Source organism: Homo sapiens, chromosome 3, assembly GCF_000001405.40.
Source record: "Homo sapiens chromosome 3, GRCh38.p14 Primary Assembly".
Classification (NCBI taxonomy): Eukaryota; Metazoa; Chordata; class Mammalia; order Primates; family Hominidae; genus Homo; species Homo sapiens.
This window is the reverse complement of record NC_000003.12, coordinates 98,795,915-98,817,931: the sequence shown is the minus strand read 5'-3', so window position 1 is coordinate 98,817,931 and position 22,017 is coordinate 98,795,915. Positions and strand designations below refer to the sequence as shown.

Genomic DNA, 22,017 nt, shown 5'->3' with positions numbered 1-22,017 from the left:
ACCATGTGCATTAATGAAAGCAACTCTTCATTCCCCAGGCATTATAACCACTGGATCCACCATGGTGGAGCACAATTACTATGTGTCTGCCTACAGAATCCTGTACAGTGATGATGGGCAGAAATGGACTGTGTACAGAGAGCCTGGTGTGGAGCAAGATAAGGTAAAATGATTACCAAGGTATTTTTAAAAAACATTTTTTAAATGGGTGGTTGCCAAGTCACAGAGCTCTCCTGTATAAAAGAGATGTAGAAGTTTAGAATGTCTTATACTACCCTCTTGTGGTTATTTTAGGTAGTGTTATTGGCCTTACTCTACTGACTTTAGAAAATTCTCAGTAGTTCTAGGTTCCTTTTGGTGATTGTAACGGTGAGTACTTTTCTGATTTTTGTCATTGCATTTTTAATTGAATTGTTTAGACACTTTATTAAGAAAGTCTAAAAGGGACCTTGTAATTTCTTATTTTTATGAAGCTTTTTTCAATTCACCAGATGATGGAGAGCCTTTGTTCCCAGATTTCTACTCTGTAGGCAAGAGGTAAAAAAAGAAAAAAGCTGAAAACCAACGTGCATTAAATTATAGGATATTAGAGATGAAAATTCATCTGAAGATCATCTCACCAACTTTCATCTTGGGAAACTTCTGTTTTTTCTTACATGAAGAATTGCTCTAGCATCTAATTATGGAATCTTTGTTTTAGTTAGCAACAATTTATGAAGATGCTGGAATGAGCCAGAGGAAATGATAAGGGGTGGGGAGCAGGCAGAGATGGGTCTTATTCAGATGTGTATCCCTTTGATCTTTAAATGGAGAAGTCCTTGTGCCTAAGGAAGATAGATGTCTCCCATCAGTACCAAAACTATGGGGCTGGGCATGATGGCTCACTCCTGTAATCACAGCACTTTGGGATTGCTTGAGCTCAGGAGTTTGAAACCAGCCTGGGCAACATGGCAACACGCCATCTCCACTAAAAATACAGAAAATTAGCCAGGCATGGTGGCGCATGCCTGTAGTCCCAGTTTCTTGGGAGGCTGAGGTGGGAGAATCACCTGAACCCAGGAGGTTGAGGCTGCAGTGAGCTGTGATCACTCCACTGCAATCCAGCCTGGGCGACAGAGGGAGACTCTGTCTCAAAGTGGAAAAAAAAGAACTGAAACAATGATGACATTTTTTCAAACTTTCCTATGAGTTTGATTTTGATTATATATTTTTGTTTTTTATCATGTATGATTTGCTAAAAAGTCTTCAATTACTACTTTTCTCATCTCTTTGTTCAAAAACCTCCAGGGGCTCATTATCTTTCATATGCATCTTAACTCCTCTGCTTTTATTCAAGGCCTCTTTCTTCTCTTCTACTTGGCGTCACATGAACTTCATCTTTGGTGAGCCTCTCCCTGTTAAAGAAAATAACAATACTGTCTCCATACATATCTTCTACCTCATGCCCCTAAACTTGACTACTCTTTACTCCTGCCACATCCATATTCATTTGTATCACATTTATTTTGCTTGTGGAATATAGCTAAATTTTTGGAATGTTAAGAATTGTTCAGGCTTATACTATAAAAACTTCTAAACATTAAATGATATTTCTGAAAAAGATTCTATGTTGCATTCATTTTTGAAAGGTAATTTCTCTAAGTGTAGAAATCTGGGTTGATCAGTGGTTTTTTGGTTTTTTTTTTTTTTTGGTTTTTCCTTTCAATAATTGAAATACGTTGTCTGCTGTTTGCTGGCTTGCATTGTTTTTGACAAGAATTCTGCTATTATTTCTGTTCCTCAATATGTGATATGTCTTTTTTTCTGTGGCTCCTTTTAAGGTTTTCTTTTTATCATTTGTTTTAAGCAGTTTGATTGATGTGGCTTTTTTATATTTTTCTTCTTTTTTTTTTGCGTGGGGTTCTTTGAGGTTTTTGGATCTGTAGGTTATGATTTGCATCAAATTTAGAAAATTGTAGTTCTTTTTTTTTCAAATATTTCCCTTCCCCAATTCTAATTTTATGAATATTATGACCCTTGAAGGTATCTTACCATTCACCAATGCTCCGTTCTTTATTTTTTTCAGTCTTTTTCTCTTTGTATTTTAGTTTGAAAGTTTTCTGTTTTGTCTTCAAGTTCACTAATCTATTCTTCTGAAATGTCTAATCTGTTAATCCCATCCAATGTATTTTTATCTCTGATACTGTATTTTTTATCTCTAGATGTTCAGTTTGGGAGTTTTAAGATGTCTCCAGTGTGTCTTTACATGCTCATGCTTTTCTCTATCTCTGGAACATGGAGCATATATAATAGCTCTTTTAATATCCTCATCTGCTAATGTTATCCTATGTCATATATGGGTCTTTTTATGTTGATTGATATTATGGATCATATTTTACCTGCCCGAATTTTTTTTATTGGATGCCAGACATTGTGTTACATTGTTTGGTGCTGGGGTTTTTTGTTATTAATATTCCCTTAAGTATTTTTGAGCTTTATTCTGGAATGTAGTTAAGCTACTGGAAACAATGTGATATTTTCAAGGCTTGCTTTTAAACTTCATTAGGCAGGACCTGGACAGCCTTCAGTTTTCTTATTTTTCTCCCCCACTGAGACAATACTGTTCTAAGTACTCACTGCAGCATCCCATGTATTATGAGGTTTCTCTGTTCTACCTCTTGGCAGTGTAAGGAATTCCCAGATCTACGGAGCTGTGAGACTTGTCCTGCTGACTCATTCCAGTGTTTCTTTTACTGGCCATAGGTCATTTCTTTACATGCAGCTGAAGATTTAAGGGATAACTCCTTATATATTCTAGAAGTGTCTCTCTCTCTCTCTCTCACTCACTCTATCTTTATAGCTCTCTTCTCTCCTAATCTCTGCCTACAAATTCTAGCTACCTTATTGGCCTCCCACTCTCAGCTCTGTCTCTGCAACTCAGTGAGACCGGCAGGCTCTGTTAGGGATCTCTCTCCCTGCACTGTGGCCTGGAAACTCTTCTATAGACAGTACTGGGGCAATAAATAGCAGGGTTCACCTTATTTGTTTCCCTTCTTTCCGTCATTATTGCCCAAGGCAGCCTGTTATCCAGTTTCTCAGGTACGTATAGGGCTGAACAATAAGTCTAATCCGTTACTCTTATGGTCAGAAATGCAAATCTTCACATTGAATTGTATGAATTAACAGTCTTTTCCCGCTCATGTAAGTCCATCTGCTCCCTCATCACCTCCAACCCAAGGGTAATTGGTGTATTCATTTTACCCCTTTTCTGAGCCTGCACATGTGCATGAGTACGCAGAGACTGCATTTGGTTTTGTTTTTAGAAAATGGGATTTATATATATATATACAATTTGTTTTCATAATATATCACTTTCTAACATTATGCCATATTTATGTGTGGTAATCAATAAAATTTAAGTTTCTTGAGGGTGGGAACTGTAGCAACCATATCCATTTTCTCTTCATGACACCTCACATACTTCTCTGTACATGAGGATTCTCAGTAAATGCTCATAGGTTGACTATAGCAAATCTTTTTTACTCAGTTTTTATAAAATTGAGACAGCAATATAGAGGAATATCTTAAAGATAGTTTTTATGTGTTAAAGTAATGATTTGTTATCGTCCCTGTTCCACTAATATAGTAAGAATGAAAATAATTGCCTTTCATTTTATTTCAGAGTAATATCTGAGGAAATCACGGGAGCTCACTAGTATGGAAGTTATTGTAACTGCAAAACAAACTTTTTAGGAAATGAAGGATATTAACACATCTTTCGAGATTTATAGTCTAATGCCAAGTGAATTAGCCAAGAAGAAATAGAGCCACAATACTTGGAAATAGCTTGATTGAGAAGTTAAACATTTACTTAATCTCATCTTAGCTGATTAGAAAAAAAATCACTTTGATTTTAGGCAATATATGCTTATTAATGGTCTTTAGAAACTACCTAGTTGATCTGACCTAGAGAACAAACAGGGCTCTTTTTAGCTTATTGGAGTCCATACTTAAGTCGGAAGACCCAGAGTCAAGTTGCTGCCCTGTCATTGACTAGCTGTGCAATCCACTTACAGATTCCTGTGCCCTCCTATTTCATAGGGTTGTCTGAATTAGTTACATTAAAATGTTTTATAAATAATTAAGTGCTGGTCCATTGTAAGATACTATCATTATTTGCTTGAAGTAGTTAAGGGAATGAGACTCACCTAAACTCATATTTTTACCTAGGGATTATTTTTATAATGCATTTGTTGCTAGTTAGTTACAAGCATTAAATTAGTCACAGGCCAGGCGTGGTAGCTCACACCTGTAATTCCAGCATTTTGGGGGAGGTCTAGGTGTGAGTATACTTGAGGACAGGAGTTTGAGACCAGCCTGAACAGCATAGCAAGACCCCTTTCTACAAAAATAAAAAATCACCAGGTGCAGTGGCTCATTCCTGTAATCTCAGCACTTTGGGAGGCTGAGGCAGGTGGATCCCTTGAGGTCAACATGGTAAAACCCTGTCTCTACTAAAAATGCAAAAATTAGCCGGGCGTGTTGGTGCACACCTGTAATCCCAGCTACTCAGGAGGCTGAGGCAGGAGAGTTGCTTGAACTTGGGAGGAAGAGGTTGCAGTGAGCCAAGATTGCGCCACTGCACACTAGCCTGGGCAACAAAGCGAGACCTCTTTTCTAAATAAATAAGTAAATATTGCCACACATGTTGGCATGCGCCTCTGTAGTCCTAGCTACTCAGGAGGCTGAGGTGGGAGGATCTTTTGAGCCCAGGAGTTCTAGGCTGTATTGTGCTATGATCCCGCCAATGCATTCCTTGGATGACAGAGCAAGACTCTATCTCTAAAAATAATTAATAATTTAAGCATAAAATAGCATTTCAAAGTCACTTCTAGTTTAAATAGCAGCATGGAACAAAAACCGGGATAATAGGAGAACTGTCTTTATGCAGTTTATCCAGTAGGTGGAGGTATATATCTGTTATATGTTTGTTAGTATATGTTCACCTTCAGCCTGTTGAGAGAAAAATTATGAAAAGTACACAAGCAAAATATTTCCCCTAAGACTTGGCATGATCAATTTTGTTTTACTTTAAAAATAAAAATTAATATATTTAAATAGTTGGTAATTCCACAGGACTAGAGTTACTGATTTACTAATAGGATAAATTGTCTCACTGGATTTGAAACCTTTTACCCAAATGCCAAGTTAGCCCTCTTGTTAAGTTCTTAAATCATCTTAAAATCATTTCTATATTAAATATTTTTGTTTCATAAACTTTTGATAAAAATGTGCAGCATCTTAATATTTTTCCAAATTATGATTATTTTCTTAAAAATTGATCCTTATTATCATACTTTCCAGATGTAATTTAAGGCCTAGAGCAAAGAACAAAAACATGTTTAAGTGGAGAAATTTAGCCCTGACCTCTATTGATTTGAAGTACCAATTTTTTGTTGTTTTTTTAAAGATATTTCAAGGAAACAAAGATTATCACCAGGATGTGCGTAATAACTTTTTGCCACCAATTATTGCACGTTTTATTAGAGTGAATCCTACCCAATGGCAGCAGAAAATTGCCATGAAAATGGAGCTGCTCGGATGTCAGTTTATTCCTAAAGGTAAAGAGACAGTTCGTTTAAGATATGTTTTTACTGGATTGCCAATTTAAAATGGTTTTGCTGTTCTCAGAGAGAGTAATTAATAATGTGAGTGTCTTTCTGGTTAAACTCTAATTACAATATCTTCTTAAAGGGATGTTAAAAAAAATGGTTACCCTATTAAAAAGTTAGTTATAAGAATGGTTTCCAAAATTATAAGTGGAAGAAGAAATAGCATCATTCATAAGATAATGTAAATGAGATCACTTTCCAAATTTAATCTCAATCCTAATAATTTTAAATCAGGTGTCATGTACTGTAATATTTGTTTAACATAAGCATGAAAGATTGTAACAATACATTTAAAGCAAGAATAATTTATCTCAATATTATACATTTTAATATACTGTTTACTTTTGTACGCCCAAAGGCTACCACAGTGCCTGACACATCGTTGGCCCTCCATAAATAACTATTAAATGAATTGAATAAGTACTGTATCAAAATGTGGATGACTCCTTTATAGCTTTAGCATTCAACATCACTTTCCACCCCATTATTCTTCTTCCTAAGATTATTTTCAGATGATTTAATTATTTAAAAACTGAGAAATCCTGGCATATTTGTGCCTTTATTGCAGAGTATAATATTTATCCTTCCAATATATTTCTCTCTGAGAGTTAAAATTATTCTGCAGAATTAAATACTTTAGGAAATATTGAAGACATTTAGCATTACTATTTTTAATTATGATTTTTAAAAACAAAATGTTTAAATTTTTCTAAACCATTTTTCAAGGTCGTCCTCCAAAACTTACTCAACCTCCACCTCCTCGGAACAGCAATGACCTCAAAAACACTACAGCCCCTCCAAAAATAGCCAAAGGTATGCCTGTTTTTAATGTGAGAATTTGATATTCCTTGGATTTATGGTGCAACTTTCCAAAAATATATTAAAAGCATTATCAAATAAGTTTATGTTAATCAAGTTGGTACAGATTAAAAAGTAAAGAGCTTTTGAAACTTTTTTAAAGGTCGTGCCCCAAAATTTACGCAACCACTACAACCTCGCAGTAGCAATGAATTTCCTGCACAGACAGAACAAACAACTGCCAGTCCTGATATCAGAAATACTACCGTAACTCCAAATGTAACCAAAGGTATGCAAACATGGAAATGAACGCCTAGTACATAGTATTGTTTTGTTCTTAACTGAAGTTTTCACGGGCATTTTTAAACCTTCAGTTTATTTTCTTCCAACTATAGTTTTTAAGTATAGCAAAAAAAAAAATTTATTTTCTTTCATAGGAAAAGACTGCATTGATCTAAGTTGTAGTCTCTGCTGCCATGTAGAATTGCTCTTTAAATATTTAGAGAAGGCCACTGTGTTGCAGGCCTCCTCTTGTGATTTATTGTTCCTTACAGCTAAACATGTTGACTCTCAGGCTTAGAAATACAATATTTTCTAGAAATAACTGAAATCATAGCAGGAAACAAACTTGTTTCCCTTGATAATATATTAATTTGATGGATAGGGAACTTGATGGCAAAAAGGGGAAAATAAAAACAGAACTTTTAGTAGAAACTAGTAATTGTTAAAAAATACTCATAGTTAACATATTCATAAAAAAAAACTTTGGTCTCTTTTTAAGTGTTTGCAATTATATTTTTTAAGATCATAAATAGAAATTTATTAGAATTTACTTTCAAGTTTTGTTATCAGTGATAAATAAGGTCTCAAAATACATAAAACATAGTAGTCTTACTAGTTGTTGAAAAACAAAATTTCAATTGAATTCAAAAAAGTGTCAGTGTCATAGTAGACTAAGTATCAGAGTTGTCACATAAAAAGCTTCCTTGTTTTCAGGAAAGTGCAGAGAGAGAAAGCCGTTCATCCAAAGTAATTTGTGCCACATAGAACTTCAGTCATTCTCATTTTTTGAAAGTTTGCCTGGATTCAGATAACTTTCTCTGACTTTCCCCATGTTGGTTCTTTCCCATCTTCTGAAGTATTTTCACAAAGATGAATTACTTTCTCATGCTGCAGGTACAGCTAGAGAGAATCAAGGGTTCTCAGAGGCAGGAGATCTCAGCATCTTTTAACTGCTTACCAGTTGTCAGAAGGCATGTACTAAGGCAGAATCCCAGACCACATGCCTGGATGGAGATCAGTCACTGAAAAGTGTTGCTCATCTTAAAATCTGATTGCATCTCAGACCCTCAAGGCTAAAAAGAGTCCTTAAATAATTTCCTTCCAGAATTAGGATCCCTGTATGCCCAAAAAGAATAACAAAGAATGAGTTGGTCTTCTCAGAGACCTCCTGTCTCTTTTTTAGGGGGATGGTAGTATATAAATTTATTTTTTGAACCTAAGAAGATGTTTTAAAGCCTCTGATTAAATCACACAGCATCCATCTAAACTTGATTATCTTCTCTTGTCTCACTAATCTTATGGAAAAAGCACATTTACCGTTGTGAATTCTGAGTGCTTTCTAGTCTAAGTCATTATTTCTGTTTATGGACTTCTCCATTTTTACAGCCAGGCTGAGAGTGATTTCATGGAAAAGATTATGTCATGGTCAGATTTGTGCCTCTGTAGTTTCCAGGTCCTCCCTCAGTGGGGCCCGTGGCACCAGCTGGCTGACCTTCTGAAAGGCTGCAGTAGCTCTTCTGTCTGTTCTCAACTGTAGCTATTTTACATATTCCCCTTATTTTCAAGCCCTTCACCCAGATATCTTCACCCACTCTCAGTTACCGCTCCAACTTCACAGAGAAAGTAGGGAGTTTCCTTCCAGTGAAACTCCCTTTTTGTGGAGCCTACAAACCTATCTGTATCCTCTGTTCACTGCAGTGAAAAGGGGGCTTCCTTATGTTGCCCAAGGCTGATTATATCACCTGTGCCCTGGTTCCCCTCGATCTACCTCTCAGGGACCCAATCTTACTGATTATCCTCTCCCCCTCCTGTATCTTCAGCCTCTTTCTCTCTTTTGGATACAGTTGTTTTAAGGAATAAAGAAGATGGTGCAGGTTAGACTCATTGCAGTGTCCGGCTCTGAGCCCCCAGTAAATATCAGCAGGTGCTGCTATTATCATCTTCATGGCAAGTAGGGGGTTGAGCGACAAAGGAAGAAACTAATATCCCAAGTGACCTTAGGCAGATCATTTTCTATATCTGGGCCCAGAATTCCTTATCTCTGGAGTGAAATTAGGGGATTAAATGATCCCTAAATCTCTCCCAGTTCCAGCATTATGCTGGCTTCTGACCTGGTCACACACACATTTCCAATTGACTTTCTTAACACCACATTGTTACCTTCCCATATATATATATATGAATGTTTTGCCATTATGATGTAACGTCATTTCAATTGCTGGATTATTTTCTCTTGTAAGGAGGATACCATGATTTATTCCCTCTCATTTTTGGGCATTTGGATTATTTCCAATTTTTCACTCTTACGCAGAAACAGGGAGAACATCTTTAAGGATGCATCTTTTTTTAGTTTCTGAGAATAAATTCTAGGAATGGAATTGCCAATAGATTTTTGTACATATTGCCCAAAAATGCCAATCAGTGAGATAGCATCAGTTTATATTTCCATTAAAAAATAACTGTTTCCTGGTAGCCTGTTCATCAATTAGTTGTTGTTTTAAATATTTGCCACTTTGATTAGCAAAAGTAGTATTTTGTTGTTTTAACTTTTTTTGTGTTGGTTGTTTAACTTGTATTTCTTTGATTACTAGTGAAGTTAACATATTTAATGGTTACTTGTATTTTTTAATGTATTACTAGTTAATCTCTGCTGATTTTTCTCTTAAATGTTTGGATTTGGCTTGTAATGCCCTACAATATAATAATTATTTAAAGTAACTCTTCTCATATGTAGAAAATATATTTTCCCAATTTTTCATTTGTCTTTCAATTTTATTTTAGTGATTTAAAAATTTAGGAAAATTTCACATCTCTACACAGATGGAATGAATAGTGTAACAAGCTTTTGTGTATCTGCAAAAGCTTCTACAGTTACCACCACATGCCCAGTCTTGACAAATAATGTTTATGGTATTTCCGTGAGGTAGAAAAATGTTGAAAGATGATGTGGTTAATTTTCCCTAGTGATTTCTGCCTTTGGTGTTAATATGGCTTTTGTTTGTCTGTTTTTGTCTTTGTAACTTCAGATGTAGCGCTGGCTGCAGTTCTTGTCCCTGTGCTGGTCATGGTCCTCACTACTCTCATTCTCATATTAGTGTGTGCTTGGCACTGGAGAAACAGGTTAGTACATAACTAGTTCACCTGAGTCCAAAACTACCAAATGTGAAGTAGAAGCTAAATATAGAAGATGAAAATGTTTACCTGTTTGAGAGTGAGAGTTAAGGTAATTATTAAAATGAAAATTTCATGCTTCTCCTTTATTCCCATTAAAAATAAATAAGTTCAATTCCACAATCAGTTACTAAGTACCTTTTTTGTATCAAGTTCTGCATTATACACTGGGATATGTACATTAATATGAACAATTTCTGACACATGATAGTTACATTTACTTAAAGAATGAGACACAATTCCTTTCTCTGAAGTGTTTAGCAGGGTTGACTAACAAGGAACTATATCATGTGGTTTGATGAGTTATGAACCATGAGAATTAACTGAAGTTTTTTCTTCGGGAAAGGGGACTCCTCAAGTTTGGCTTGCTTTGCCTTAAAGGAATTGTAGTTGGCTAGATAGAGGAAGGTAGATGTCTTTGTTTGGGATGCTGTAAGAAAATACCATAACCTGGGTGACATAAATAATAGAATTGATTTCTCACAGTTCTGGAGGCTGAGAAGTCCAAGATCAAAACACTGCAGATACTATGACTAGTGAGGGCCTGCCGTCTGGCTCATTCATCAACAGTGCCTTCTTGCCCGATCCTCTCATGGTGGAAGGGATAAACACGCTCTCTCAGGCCTTTCCTGTAAGGGCACCAATCCCATTCATGAGGACTCTGCCTTCATGACCTAATCACTTACCAAAGCCCCACTTTCTAACGGGGGTTAGGATTTCAACATATGAATTTTGGAGAGATGCAAATATTCAGACCATAGCACTAGCAAATGGCCCAACCTGAGCCAATTGTTTGAGTGAAGGCACAGAGATATGGAATGTAGGCAAAATAGTGAGTCATCGCATGTACGCTTGGCGTGGGAGAGTCCTGAGAAATAACCATAGAGGTTCAGTCTGGGCCTGGATCAGGAAAGGCTTTTCTGGAAGAGAGAAATTTAGATTTCATTCTATAGATGGAAAGTCACTTGAGTGTCAAGCAAAGAGGTGATATTGTCAGATGATTGTACAAAGATGGTGGCAGTTTTGAAGGGTAGATTGAAGAGGAGAGAGGCTGAGAGACTTAGCAAGATGAGTTAGGAAACCACTGAGGCCAGGCAGGCACATAACACACTGATTCTAGGAAAGGGAGAAGAGATGGAGTGGAGATGTTTCCCAGTAGCATTGACAGGATGTATGACTAGTTGTCTAGTAAGGAAGAAGTGATACAGGAGGAATCTGAGGTTTCTGGCTTGTGCAGTTAGACCAGTAGAGGTGTCATGAGTTGAGATAACACAGCAGGAAGGACAGGTTTGGTGGAGAATGAAAATGACTTCATTTGTTCAGCCATGCAACAAGTATTTGAATATTTGGCTGTTACCCTATGTCAAGTATTGAGCCATGTGCTGGGGATTCCAGTGATGAACCCCAAAGCTTACAGATTAGGAACGGATGCAATGCAAAAAAAACTCCCAGCTGTAACACCAGCCATAGAATATATGCCATGGGAGGAAGCTAGTGGATCCCAGCTTCATGAACAGGCTGTCTAAGCAGAGACACAGCAAATTAGTATGAGAACAATAGGGAAAGGAAAGGACTTTAGGAAATTCCAAAGAGGAGAGAGTATGATGCATTTAAGGAACTTAGCAACAACAGTGATAGTAGTGATGAGGCCCGCAGCAGCAGAAGCTAATTTTTATAGAAAATTGAATGCTAATCTTAGTCACTATTCTACATAATTATTCCAAATACCTGTATTTTCTATTTTCAATTTTATTTTAGTGATTTAAAAATTTAGGAAAGTTTCACATCTCTACACAGATGGAATGCATAGTGTAACAAGCTTTTGTGTATCTGCAAAAGCTTCTGCAGTTACCACCACATGCCCAGTCTTGACAACATGCACCTCTACGCAAATTATTCTAAATACCTGAATTAATTAATTTAATCCTCAAAACAATCTACGAAGCAGGCACTATAATAAGCCCCGTTTTACAGAAGGAGAAAATGAGACACAACATAAATAACTTGCCTAGTTATGGGCAAATAACTTGCCTAGTTTATGGGCATAAATAACCTGCCTAGTTATTGCCTAGTACATGGGCAGAGGGGAGTTTTGGACCAGACTTGAGAGATCGTGCTCTTACCCACTGCTGCTCTGAACACATAATAAATAAAGTATAACTCACTGTTATTAAAGCACAGGGTGTGAGGGGGAGGACTGAGGAGTGCCGCTGTTGAGAGGGCAGAAGTCAGACAGAGCCTGAGGTCAGTTTGGGATGGTGTTGAAAGGACCCTGTGGACATCCAGACTCCTGAGGCAATTCGACCACACACCTGGCGTTAAGGACACGATCTGAGCTGGAGAATTGAAGTTACTGTTAGGAACGTAGTTGAAATCACTGATGAGTGTGGCTTTATGACAAGGAGTAAAGGAGCAGATACCATTAATATGCTGTGGAAAATAGGGAGGATGAGAATGATAATAAAAACAGCTGCAGCTTATTGAATCCAGAGCTCATTCTAAGCACTTTATACGTAATGAATAAGTAACCAGAAGCTTTGTCACTTATGTGTATAAAATCCTTTATAGTACAACCTATGGCTAATATTGATGCCATAAATTTGTTGTCCTAGCAATATAGGGCATCTAACTTCTATTTAGAAAAGATGATTTATTTATTTTTTTATTTCTAAATCATGTGATGATTAGAGCATTTTCAGGGAGAAAGGTGTTTAATCAGTATTTTTTTTTATTTCTTTTCCATTCAAGTGTTTCATTAACATCTTCAACACTCATTATCTTTTCCACAAATTTTTTATTATGCTGTACTTTGAAATAATGAAATAAGTATACCTACGCTTTAAAATGAGGATGCATTTAGTATCAAAAATATAGTCTTATACTGGAGAATGTTTCCCAGTAGGAAAAGCACATGGCTTGGGCTTTTTATGAAAACCACATTTGTGGTGCTCACTTCGGCAGCACATATACTAACATTGGAACGACACAGAGAAGATTAGCATGGCCCCTGTGCAAGGATGACACGCAAATTCATGAAGCGTTCCATATTTTTAATTGACCACATAGTTGAAAGTAAAGCACTCATCAGCAAATGTAACAGAAAAGAAATTATAACAAACTGTCTCTCAGACCACAGTTCAATCAAACAAGAACTCAGGATTAAGAAACTCACTCAAAACCACTCAACTACATGGAAACTGAACAACCTGCTCCTGAATGACTACTGGGTACATAATGAAATGAAGGCAGAAATAAAGATTTTCTTTGAAACCAATGAGAGCAAAGACACAACATACCAGAATCTCTGGGACACATTCAAAGCAGTGTGTAGAGGGAAATTTATAGCACTAAATGCCCACAAGAGAAAGCAGGAAAGTTCTAAAATTGACACCCTAACATCACAATTAAAAGAACTAGAGAAGCAAGAGCAAACACATTGAAAAGCTGCAGAAGTCAAGAAATAACTAAGATCAGAGCAGAACTGAAGGAGATAGAGACAAAAAACCCTTCAAAAAATCAGTGAATCCAGGAGCTGGTTTTTTGAAAAGATCAACAAAATTGATAGACTGCTAGCAAGACTAATAAAGAAGAAAAGAGAGAAGAATCAAATAGATGCAATAAAAAATGATAAAGGGGATATCACCACCGATCCCACAGAAATACAAACTACCATCAGAGAATACTACAAACACCTCTATGCAAATAAACTAGAAAATCTAGAAGAAATGGATAAATTCCTGGACACATACACCCTCCCAAGACTAAACCAGGAAGAAGTTGAATCCCTGAATAGACCAATAACAGGCTCTGAAATTGAGGCAATAATTAATAGCCTACCAACCAAAAAAAGTCCAGGACCAGACGGATTCATAGCCGAATTCTACCAGAGGTACAAGGAGGAGCTGGTACCATTCTTTCTGAAAGTATTCCAATCAATAGAAAAAGAGGGAATCCTCCCTAACTCATTTTATGAGGCCAGCATCATCCTGATACCAAAGCCTGGCAGAGACACAACAAAAAAAAGAGAATTTTAGACCAATATCCCTGATGAAAATCGATGCAAAAATCCTCAGTAAAATACTGGCAAACCGAATCCAGCAGCACGTCAAAAAGCTTATCCACTGTGATCAAGTGGGCTTCATCCCTGGGATGCCAGGCTGGTTCAACATATGCAAATCAATAAACGTAATCCAGCATATAAACAGAACCAAAGACAAACACTACATGATTATCTCAATAAATGCAGAAAAGGCCTTTGACAAAATTCAACAACCCTTCATGCTAAAAACTCTCAATAAATTAGGTATTGATGGGACGTATCCCAAAATAATAAGAGCTATGTATGACAAACCCACAGCCAATATCATACTGAATGGGCAAAAACTGGAAGCATTGCCTTTGAAAACTGGCACAAGACAGGGATGCCCTCTCTCACCACTCCTATTCAATATAGTGTTGGAAGTTCTGGCCAGGGCAGTCAGGCAAGAGAAAGAAATAAAGGGTATTCAATTAGGAAAAGAGGAAGTCAAATTTTCCCTGTTTGCAGATGACATGATTGTATATTTAGAAAACCCCATCATCTCAGCCCAAAATCTTCTTAAGCTGATAAGCAACTTCAGCAAAGTCTCAGGATACAAAATCAATGTACAAAAATCACAAGCATTCTTATACACCAATAACAGACAGAGAGCCAAATCATGAGTGAACTCCCATTCACAATTGCTTCAAAGAGAATAAAATACCTAGGAATCCAACTTACAAGGGATGTGAAGGACCTCTTCAAAGAGAACTACAAACCACTGCTCAATGAAATAAAAGAGGACGCAAACAAATGGAAGAACATTCCATGCTCATGGATAGGAAGAATCAATATCGTGAAAATGGCCATACTGCCCAAGGTAATTTATAGATCAATGCCATCCCCATCAAGCTACCAATGACTTTCTTCACAAAATTGGAAAAAACTACTTTAAAGTTCATATAGAACCAAAAAAGAGCCCACATTGCCAAGACAATCCTAAGCCAAAAGAACAAAGCTGGAGGCATCACGTTACCTGACTTCAAACTATACTACAAGGCTACAGTAACCAAAACAGCATGATACTGGGACCAAAACAGAGATATAGACCAATGGAACAGAACAGAGCCCTCAGAAATAATACCACACATCTACAACCATCTGATCTTTGACAAACCTGACAAAAACAAGAACTGGGGAAAGGATTCCCTATTTAATAAATGGTGCTGGGAAAACTGGCTAGCCATATGTAGAAAGCTGAAACTGGATCCCTTCCTTACACCTTATACAAAAATTAATTCAAGATGGATTAAAGACTTAAATGTTAGACCTAAAACCATAAAAACCCTAGAAGAAAACCTAGGCAATACCATTCAGGACACAGACATGGACTTCATGTCTAAAACACCAAAAACAATGGCAACAAAAGCCAGAATTGACAAATGGGATCTAATTAAACTAAACAGCTTCTGCACAGCAAAAGAAACTACCATCAAAGTGAGCAGGCAACCTACAGAATGGGAGAAAATTTTTGCAATCTACTCATCTGACAAAGGGCTAATATCCAGAATCTACAAAGAACTCAAACAAATTTACAAGAAAAAAAAACAACCCCATCAACAAGTGGGCGAAAGATATGAACAGACACTTCTCAAAAGAAGACATTTATGCAGCCAACAAACACATGAAAAAATGCTCATCATCACTGGCCATCAGAGAAATGCAAATCAAAACCACAATGAGATACCATCTCACACCAGTTAGAATGGTGATCATTAAAAAGTCAGGAAACAACAGGTGCTGGAGAGGATGTGGAGAAATAGGAACATTTTTACACTGTTGGTAGGACTGTAACCTAGTTCAACCATTGTGGAAGACAGTGTGGTGATTCCTCAGGGATCTAGAACTAGAAATACCATTTGACCCAGCCATCCCATTACTGGGTATATACCCAAAGGATTATAAATCATGCTGCTATAGAGACACATGCACACGTATGTTCATTGCAGCACTATTCAAAATAGCAAAGACTTGGAACCAACCCAAATGTCCATGAATGATAGATTGAATTAAGAAAATGTGGCACATATACACCATGGAATACTATGCAGCCATAAAAAATGATGAGTTCCTGTCCTTTGTAGTGACATGGATGAAGCTGGAAACCATCATTCTCAGCAAACTGTCCCAAGGACAAAAAACCAAACACCGCATGTTCTCACTCATAGGTGGGAATTGAACAATGAGAACACTTGGACACAGGAAGGGGAATATCACATACCAAGGCCTGTCATGGGGTAGGGGGAGCAGGCTTACCAGTGAATTTACTCTGTTTGCTAACTTCTCTTCTGTATTTTTCCAGAAAGAAAAAAACTGAAGGCACCTATGACTTACCTTACTGGGACCGGGCAGGTAACTCACGTGGTCTTTGCATCTCATTTCTATCAGAGGGATGTCGCTCCCCTACAGGGGGCAGTAGTGAAAAAAGAGTCATTCTCTGGCCCAGGTGAACTCCCCGACACTGTTAGAACAATGGCATTACTCTTCAGTTCTCACCATTTTTACCCTTCTGCAAAGTCTCTTGTAATTCCTAAGTAATGAAATGAAAAGTACAAATTTCTTAAAACAAGCTCTGTTCTTTTTCTTCTGGAAAACTTGTGTAGTTTGTCCTGTGTATCTGTTTCTCATGAGGAGACCGGCTTTCTGTGGCCCACGTGAACACTGAGTAAGAAACAAAAGACTGTGGTCTCCAGGACACAGTGTGTGTTTGTCCTCTGCCATGGTTATTCACCAAGTGGAGTCCAGCAGTTTAGGAATCGGGAGGTCTCCCATGATGAGTTGTCATCTTCTGAATTGCTGCAAGTGACACCAAAGGGGCCCCCCTACCAGTTTCTCACTTCCCAGTCTCACTACTGGATCAGCTCTTAGGAGCCAGGAGAGTTCACTGCTGTGGCTAGGATAGAAAAGGGCAGCTAGTGCCCCAGGGTAGATCTTGGAAAATATTTTTTGGGAAAAATGTAATTAAGGCCACCCCTAAAATAGATACTGTATCTGGCTGTACTATACTAACAGTGATTTGCCTGCATGTGTTTGATAGAGATTTCTACCATGTACTGCTTGGTGCTGGATAGTCTATCACAGCAAAAAAAAAAAAAAAAGTTGGATTATAAAGGCAAGTTTGTAGAGATATTTGTTATAGAAATGGCTTAAATGCAACAGGATTTTTCTCTTGATACTACTGTTTGAGATACAGGTTTTTATTTAATGGTCTCTTTGGCTTGCCGTCACAATGAAGGTTGGTGGAAAGGAATGAAGCAGTTTCTTCCTGCAAAAGCAGTGGACCATGAGGAAACCCCAGTTCGCTATAGCAGCAGCGAAGTTAATCACCTGAGTCCAAGAGAAGTCACCACAGTGCTGCAGGCTGACTCTGCAGGTAACTATGTTGCAGCCTTCTGGTACCAGGCAGAGGGAGAAACTGCTTAGGCTTGCTATAAAGTGCTTTGGGATTTACAGTTCTTTGATCCCTTTCATGTTTAAGAAATGAATTGTTTCCTAAAGGTAGAACCACTTTTTTAAAAGGTGACTCTTCAGAGAGTCATTTCTGTATCTTGGATATTCTGTCTGTAAAGTTGGGACATTGATTTCTAAAGACTCTGGGCATTATGTATGTTAACTGAGGCTTGTGGGGAGACCCGAGATGTTGAGAGGAGAGCGGGAAAGACAGAAGAAGCCTTACAGTGTTTATCCTCTTAGCCTAGTACATACTTATTTTAAACATTTCCTAATATTTGAAAAAAATCTCTGAAATTATTTTTCAAGATTAATATTTATTCCAGTAACTGAATGTTTCTTTTCCAATGAAATATTCTGAAAATAATTCAGAAAGGAAATATTCAGTAAAGAAATATGTTGTCTGTAAATCTAAAGAACATATGTGAAAATTCTATATGCAAAATTACATGAATGAGACTTTCTGGTATATTATTACTATGAGAAGTACTAGACAGTATGTTTAATTTTAATTTTCAAAGTTCTTACAGATTAAGTATTGATGGCAACAAAAGTATCCTAAAGAATGTTTGCTTTTAGTATAATCTGCAGCTGCCACCCTAAATTATGCAATCTCTTTACTAGTAAAATGACTTTTCTGTTGTTTTGTGATATCCACAGAGTATGCTCAGCCACTGGTAGGAGGAATTGTTGGTACACTTCATCAAAGATCTACCTTTAAACCAGAAGAAGGAAAAGAAGCAGGCTATGCAGACCTAGATCCTTACAACTCACCAGGGCAGGAAGTTTATCATGCCTATGCTGAACCACTCCCAATTACGGGGCCTGAGTATGCAACCCCAATCATCATGGACATGTCAGGGCACCCCACAACTTCAGTTGGTCAGCCCTCCACATCCACTTTCAAGGCTACGGGGAACCAACCTCCCCCACTAGTGGGAACTTACAATACACTTCTCTCCAGGACTGACAGCTGCTCCTCAGCCCAGGCCCAGTATGATACCCCGAAAGCTGGGAAGCCAGGTCTACCTGCCCCAGACGAATTGGTGTACCAGGTGCCACAGAGCACACAAGAAGTATCAGGAGCAGGAAGGGATGGGGAATGTGATGTTTTTAAAGAAATCCTTTGAAGATGATGCTGCTTTTTACAAAGCATCGTTTTAAAGCACATGGCCTTTTTTTTTTAATTATTAGTGGTAGTAATATATAGAATGTATTACATAACTGTCACTGAAGTGGTTGGGGAAAATGTGGTGACTGAGGTACAGGAAACTACTAATCTTGCCATCTTGCTTTAAGGTGTTATGGTGGCACAGTTACTGCTCGCCTGTTAAATTTCAAATGTCCTGTTTGATACTACTGTAGAACACTATTTTTAATACAGAAAAAGCTCCCTATAATGCACTTCAGAGAAATTAAAAATCACAGAGTATTTATTACCAATGCTGCAGGTACATTAATGAACTCGAGATGGCTCTGTAAGCCTGACTGGCAATAACGCACGGTACTGTTCTTGAAATACCTAATGGCTTGAAATTCTAGTCTGTTTGTGAAAGATGGGTACTATCATGATTTCCTCTTCTATTCCTATATTCTTTTCTGGATTTTTTTTAATAATTAGTGATATAAGCATTGTTTTTATTGCAGCCATATCCACTTATCCATCTTAAGATCTGTAGCTGGGATTTTCTGACTTGTAATGAGCAGGGGGATTGCTTTTTCACTTTGTGACACTCTTTAGAGCTTTAATGCTTCACAGTATATGGCCTGGTCTCATCCTTGCGTGTTCCACTTGAGGCCCTTTGGTGTCTTGCCCCATTCTTGTGTTTATAAAATGTTTGAGTATTTCTGATGAGTGATGCTTGCCTTAGTCTCATGAATTCAGATCCCTTCATGTCCTTTAAGTATGCTCCTCAATGTGTAAACAGGAACAACTTTATGATTTGAAAGCTTTAAAGGAGATTCTTCTCCCACCCCCAACTTTATTTGCAATGGGATTTTTCCTAGGAGAGTTATGAAAAGTTGAAGGCTTCTAAGGGAATACTGTAAACATGACCCACTTATATTTATCACAGTGAAAGGCAAAATTATTCACTCAGAAGTAATATAAATTACCTCTTTAAAAAGTAACCAGAATTTGTCCTTTTTGGTTTTATACATTCACAAACATATACATTTTTCTTGAGTCTCAAGGTATTTTATATTTTTAGTCAGAAAAAATAATTTTTCATTTCAGTTTTCCATAAACTGTTACACAAAATATAAACCTAACGTGTATTTTTCAGGACTGCGTGATCGTGCACTTTGTGTGGTAAGAGGTTTGAGTAGTCCTATATGTCACCTAGGGAACAGACATTATAGCTTACTAGCAAATGAATATTCATGCCTTGTTTTTGATACCTCCTGGCAGCTTCCATGTCACCACTTGTTCATACCTGCCCAGAGCTAGTTTTAGACATGGCAAAATAGAAATCATCTGTAATTTATTAGCTAACAATGTAAAACCATCTTTTAAAGCCTTCAGACTGTCAAGACGACATGAGCAGCTCACCATATGATAAAAATACATAAATTTGACATTCCCTCTTCCATAAACCTTTGTTTGTAGATTTAATGTTGAACAGTACTTTTCCATAAAGTTCTAGTCACTTCTGTTGGCCTGAGCCACCAGATTATGATGTTGCCAGAATTCACTCAATTTGAATAAAGATGAACAGTATTTGTTTTCTTGTTTCCATGAATTATATCAGTATTCTAAAACATCGCTTCAGAAAGAGAACTGTTTATTTCTGCAGGCTTCCTGTCCTTTTGTGGTATGGTTTTTTGGCCTTATTTTCACTGGCTTTTCCTTCTCCAAACTTTGAGGCGTGATTTCATTCATTGAAGAATCAATACATATTTTGTTTCAAAATGTTTGAAACAAAAGACATAGATGGTAGACTTTTATTAAAACATATATGGATGTGGAAAGCACATATATTAATGCAGTCATCCCTTTTCAGGTGGGAAGAGAGCAAACCAGTTGATTTTTTAATTCATCCTTAGTACACAGAGAATATACTTTTCCTCAAGTAATATACCTGTTTGAAGCTTTAAGAGAGATGTTTTTGGTAACTATTTCATTTTCCCAAAGAAGTTTGCTATTCTTGTGTTAATTGTGTATACCTGATTGTTTTTTCCTGGAGGTTTTTGTTGTTGTTGTTTAGTTTTGGGTTTTTTTTTTTTTAAGAGGGGCAAGTGTTTTCTGAAATGATGCATATTTTAAGACTCGATTCATATTGCCACTGTGCTATCCTTGAACTACCAATAATTTTTATAAAATATCTAGTTTTTACTACTTTTATATAAACTTTACTTTCCAGATGAAGAGCTGAGCCTGATTCAAATGGTTTTTCTGCTTTATACTTCTTTTTAGTTCATTGGTTTTTATAGTAGAGGTTTTCTATTTTTTTTTTTTTTTTTTTTACTACATTTATATGTCTGATACATATACGGCTTTGGAGACAATCAAGTAACAACTGAAAATGTGAAAGTAACCATATCTGACAAAATTCCCTTGAATTTTTATCCTTTGCTTGCAACATTTAAGACTCAAAGTCACTGGTATATTGGATTAAGTTTTTTCCTGTTAATGCAATTATAGAAATACATCGGAGACACAACAAATGTGGCCATTACAGGTTTCATAAAATTACACTGACTTGGCTGTTACTTGATCTTAGGAAACAGCACAGTTTAAGATATTGTGAATTCTGACTTATACTTTATTAAATGCTGTAAATCTAAATAGATCCTGTTGGATGTGATGGGTCTAGTCCAGTTTATTTAAGTTCATGTTTCACTGTTTGCACTTTGCATTGAACAATGGGTTTATTCGCTGATGTAAACGGTTCGAGTGAAGAATTAATGCAGTAAGTATGACAACACATACACACTTGCCTCTCCCCATCTCCAGAAGAGGGGAGCAGAGTCCGAGCTTATCTAAATATGAATGTGGCCACAAAGCTGTGGAAGGTGACAAAGCTTAAACACCTTTGCCCTGGCTCTGCATTGTCACCTAGAGAGCAAGAGGTCTATAGAAACATCATGTCACATGAAACGATTCTCTGCTTTTTGGTTCTGAACTTGAAGTCCCTAAACTGCAAAATCTAAGAGTTGGGTGGTTATTAAAATGCTTTTAAAGTCAACTGTGGCACCAATTCTAATGTAATCCAACTTGTGACTGTTTTTTTTTGTTTTGTTTTGTTTTTGTGTGTGTGTGTGTGGCACTGGGAAAAGTGGAAACAAACATGTATTGAAATACATATTGGAAATAAAAATGGTTTGAGCGTCAGTGATATTCTCCCAGAATGTACTTATCTTACCTCGGCATGTACTGTAGTCACTCAGTATTTGTATATGTTGCTAGAATTTAGATTGTAAAATAGTGAAATTTTAATGTGTTCATTTGTTTTTAATGTATATATGTCTTGCTCAGATTATTTGGTTTAAATAAAACAACCTTGAGGTTTGTAGCTTTTCCTTATACTATAAAATGCCAGATTCTTCTATTTTAACCTCACTAATTTATGGCCAATATTGTGCTTC

At 36.9% G+C, this 22,017-nt stretch overlaps 1 protein-coding gene and 1 pseudogene across 3 annotated transcripts in view; both read left to right on the top strand.

The window, feature by feature from the left end:
- DCBLD2 (discoidin, CUB and LCCL domain containing 2) overlaps window positions 1-21,991 on the top strand; it is a 105,755-nt gene extending 83,764 nt beyond the window's left edge. For all 3 annotated transcript variants that reach the window (XM_011512419.3, NM_080927.4, XM_024453348.2), the window contains 8 exons: window positions 39-163; window positions 5,450-5,600; window positions 6,378-6,464; window positions 6,613-6,738; window positions 9,758-9,851; window positions 16,283-16,332; window positions 17,216-17,353; window positions 18,091-21,991. In XM_011512419.3, coding sequence (XP_011510721.1) covers window positions 39-163; window positions 5,450-5,600; window positions 6,378-6,464; window positions 6,613-6,738; window positions 9,758-9,851; window positions 16,283-16,332; window positions 17,216-17,353; window positions 18,091-18,560 — 1,241 coding nt within the window. In that variant the 3' untranslated portion in view covers window positions 18,561-21,991. The remainder of the gene's footprint in view (window positions 1-38; window positions 164-5,449; window positions 5,601-6,377; window positions 6,465-6,612; window positions 6,739-9,757; window positions 9,852-16,282; window positions 16,333-17,215; window positions 17,354-18,090) is intronic.
- Window positions 12,848-12,954, top strand: RNU6-26P (RNA, U6 small nuclear 26, pseudogene; annotated as a pseudogene).
- Window positions 21,992-22,017: the final 26 nt, after the last annotated feature.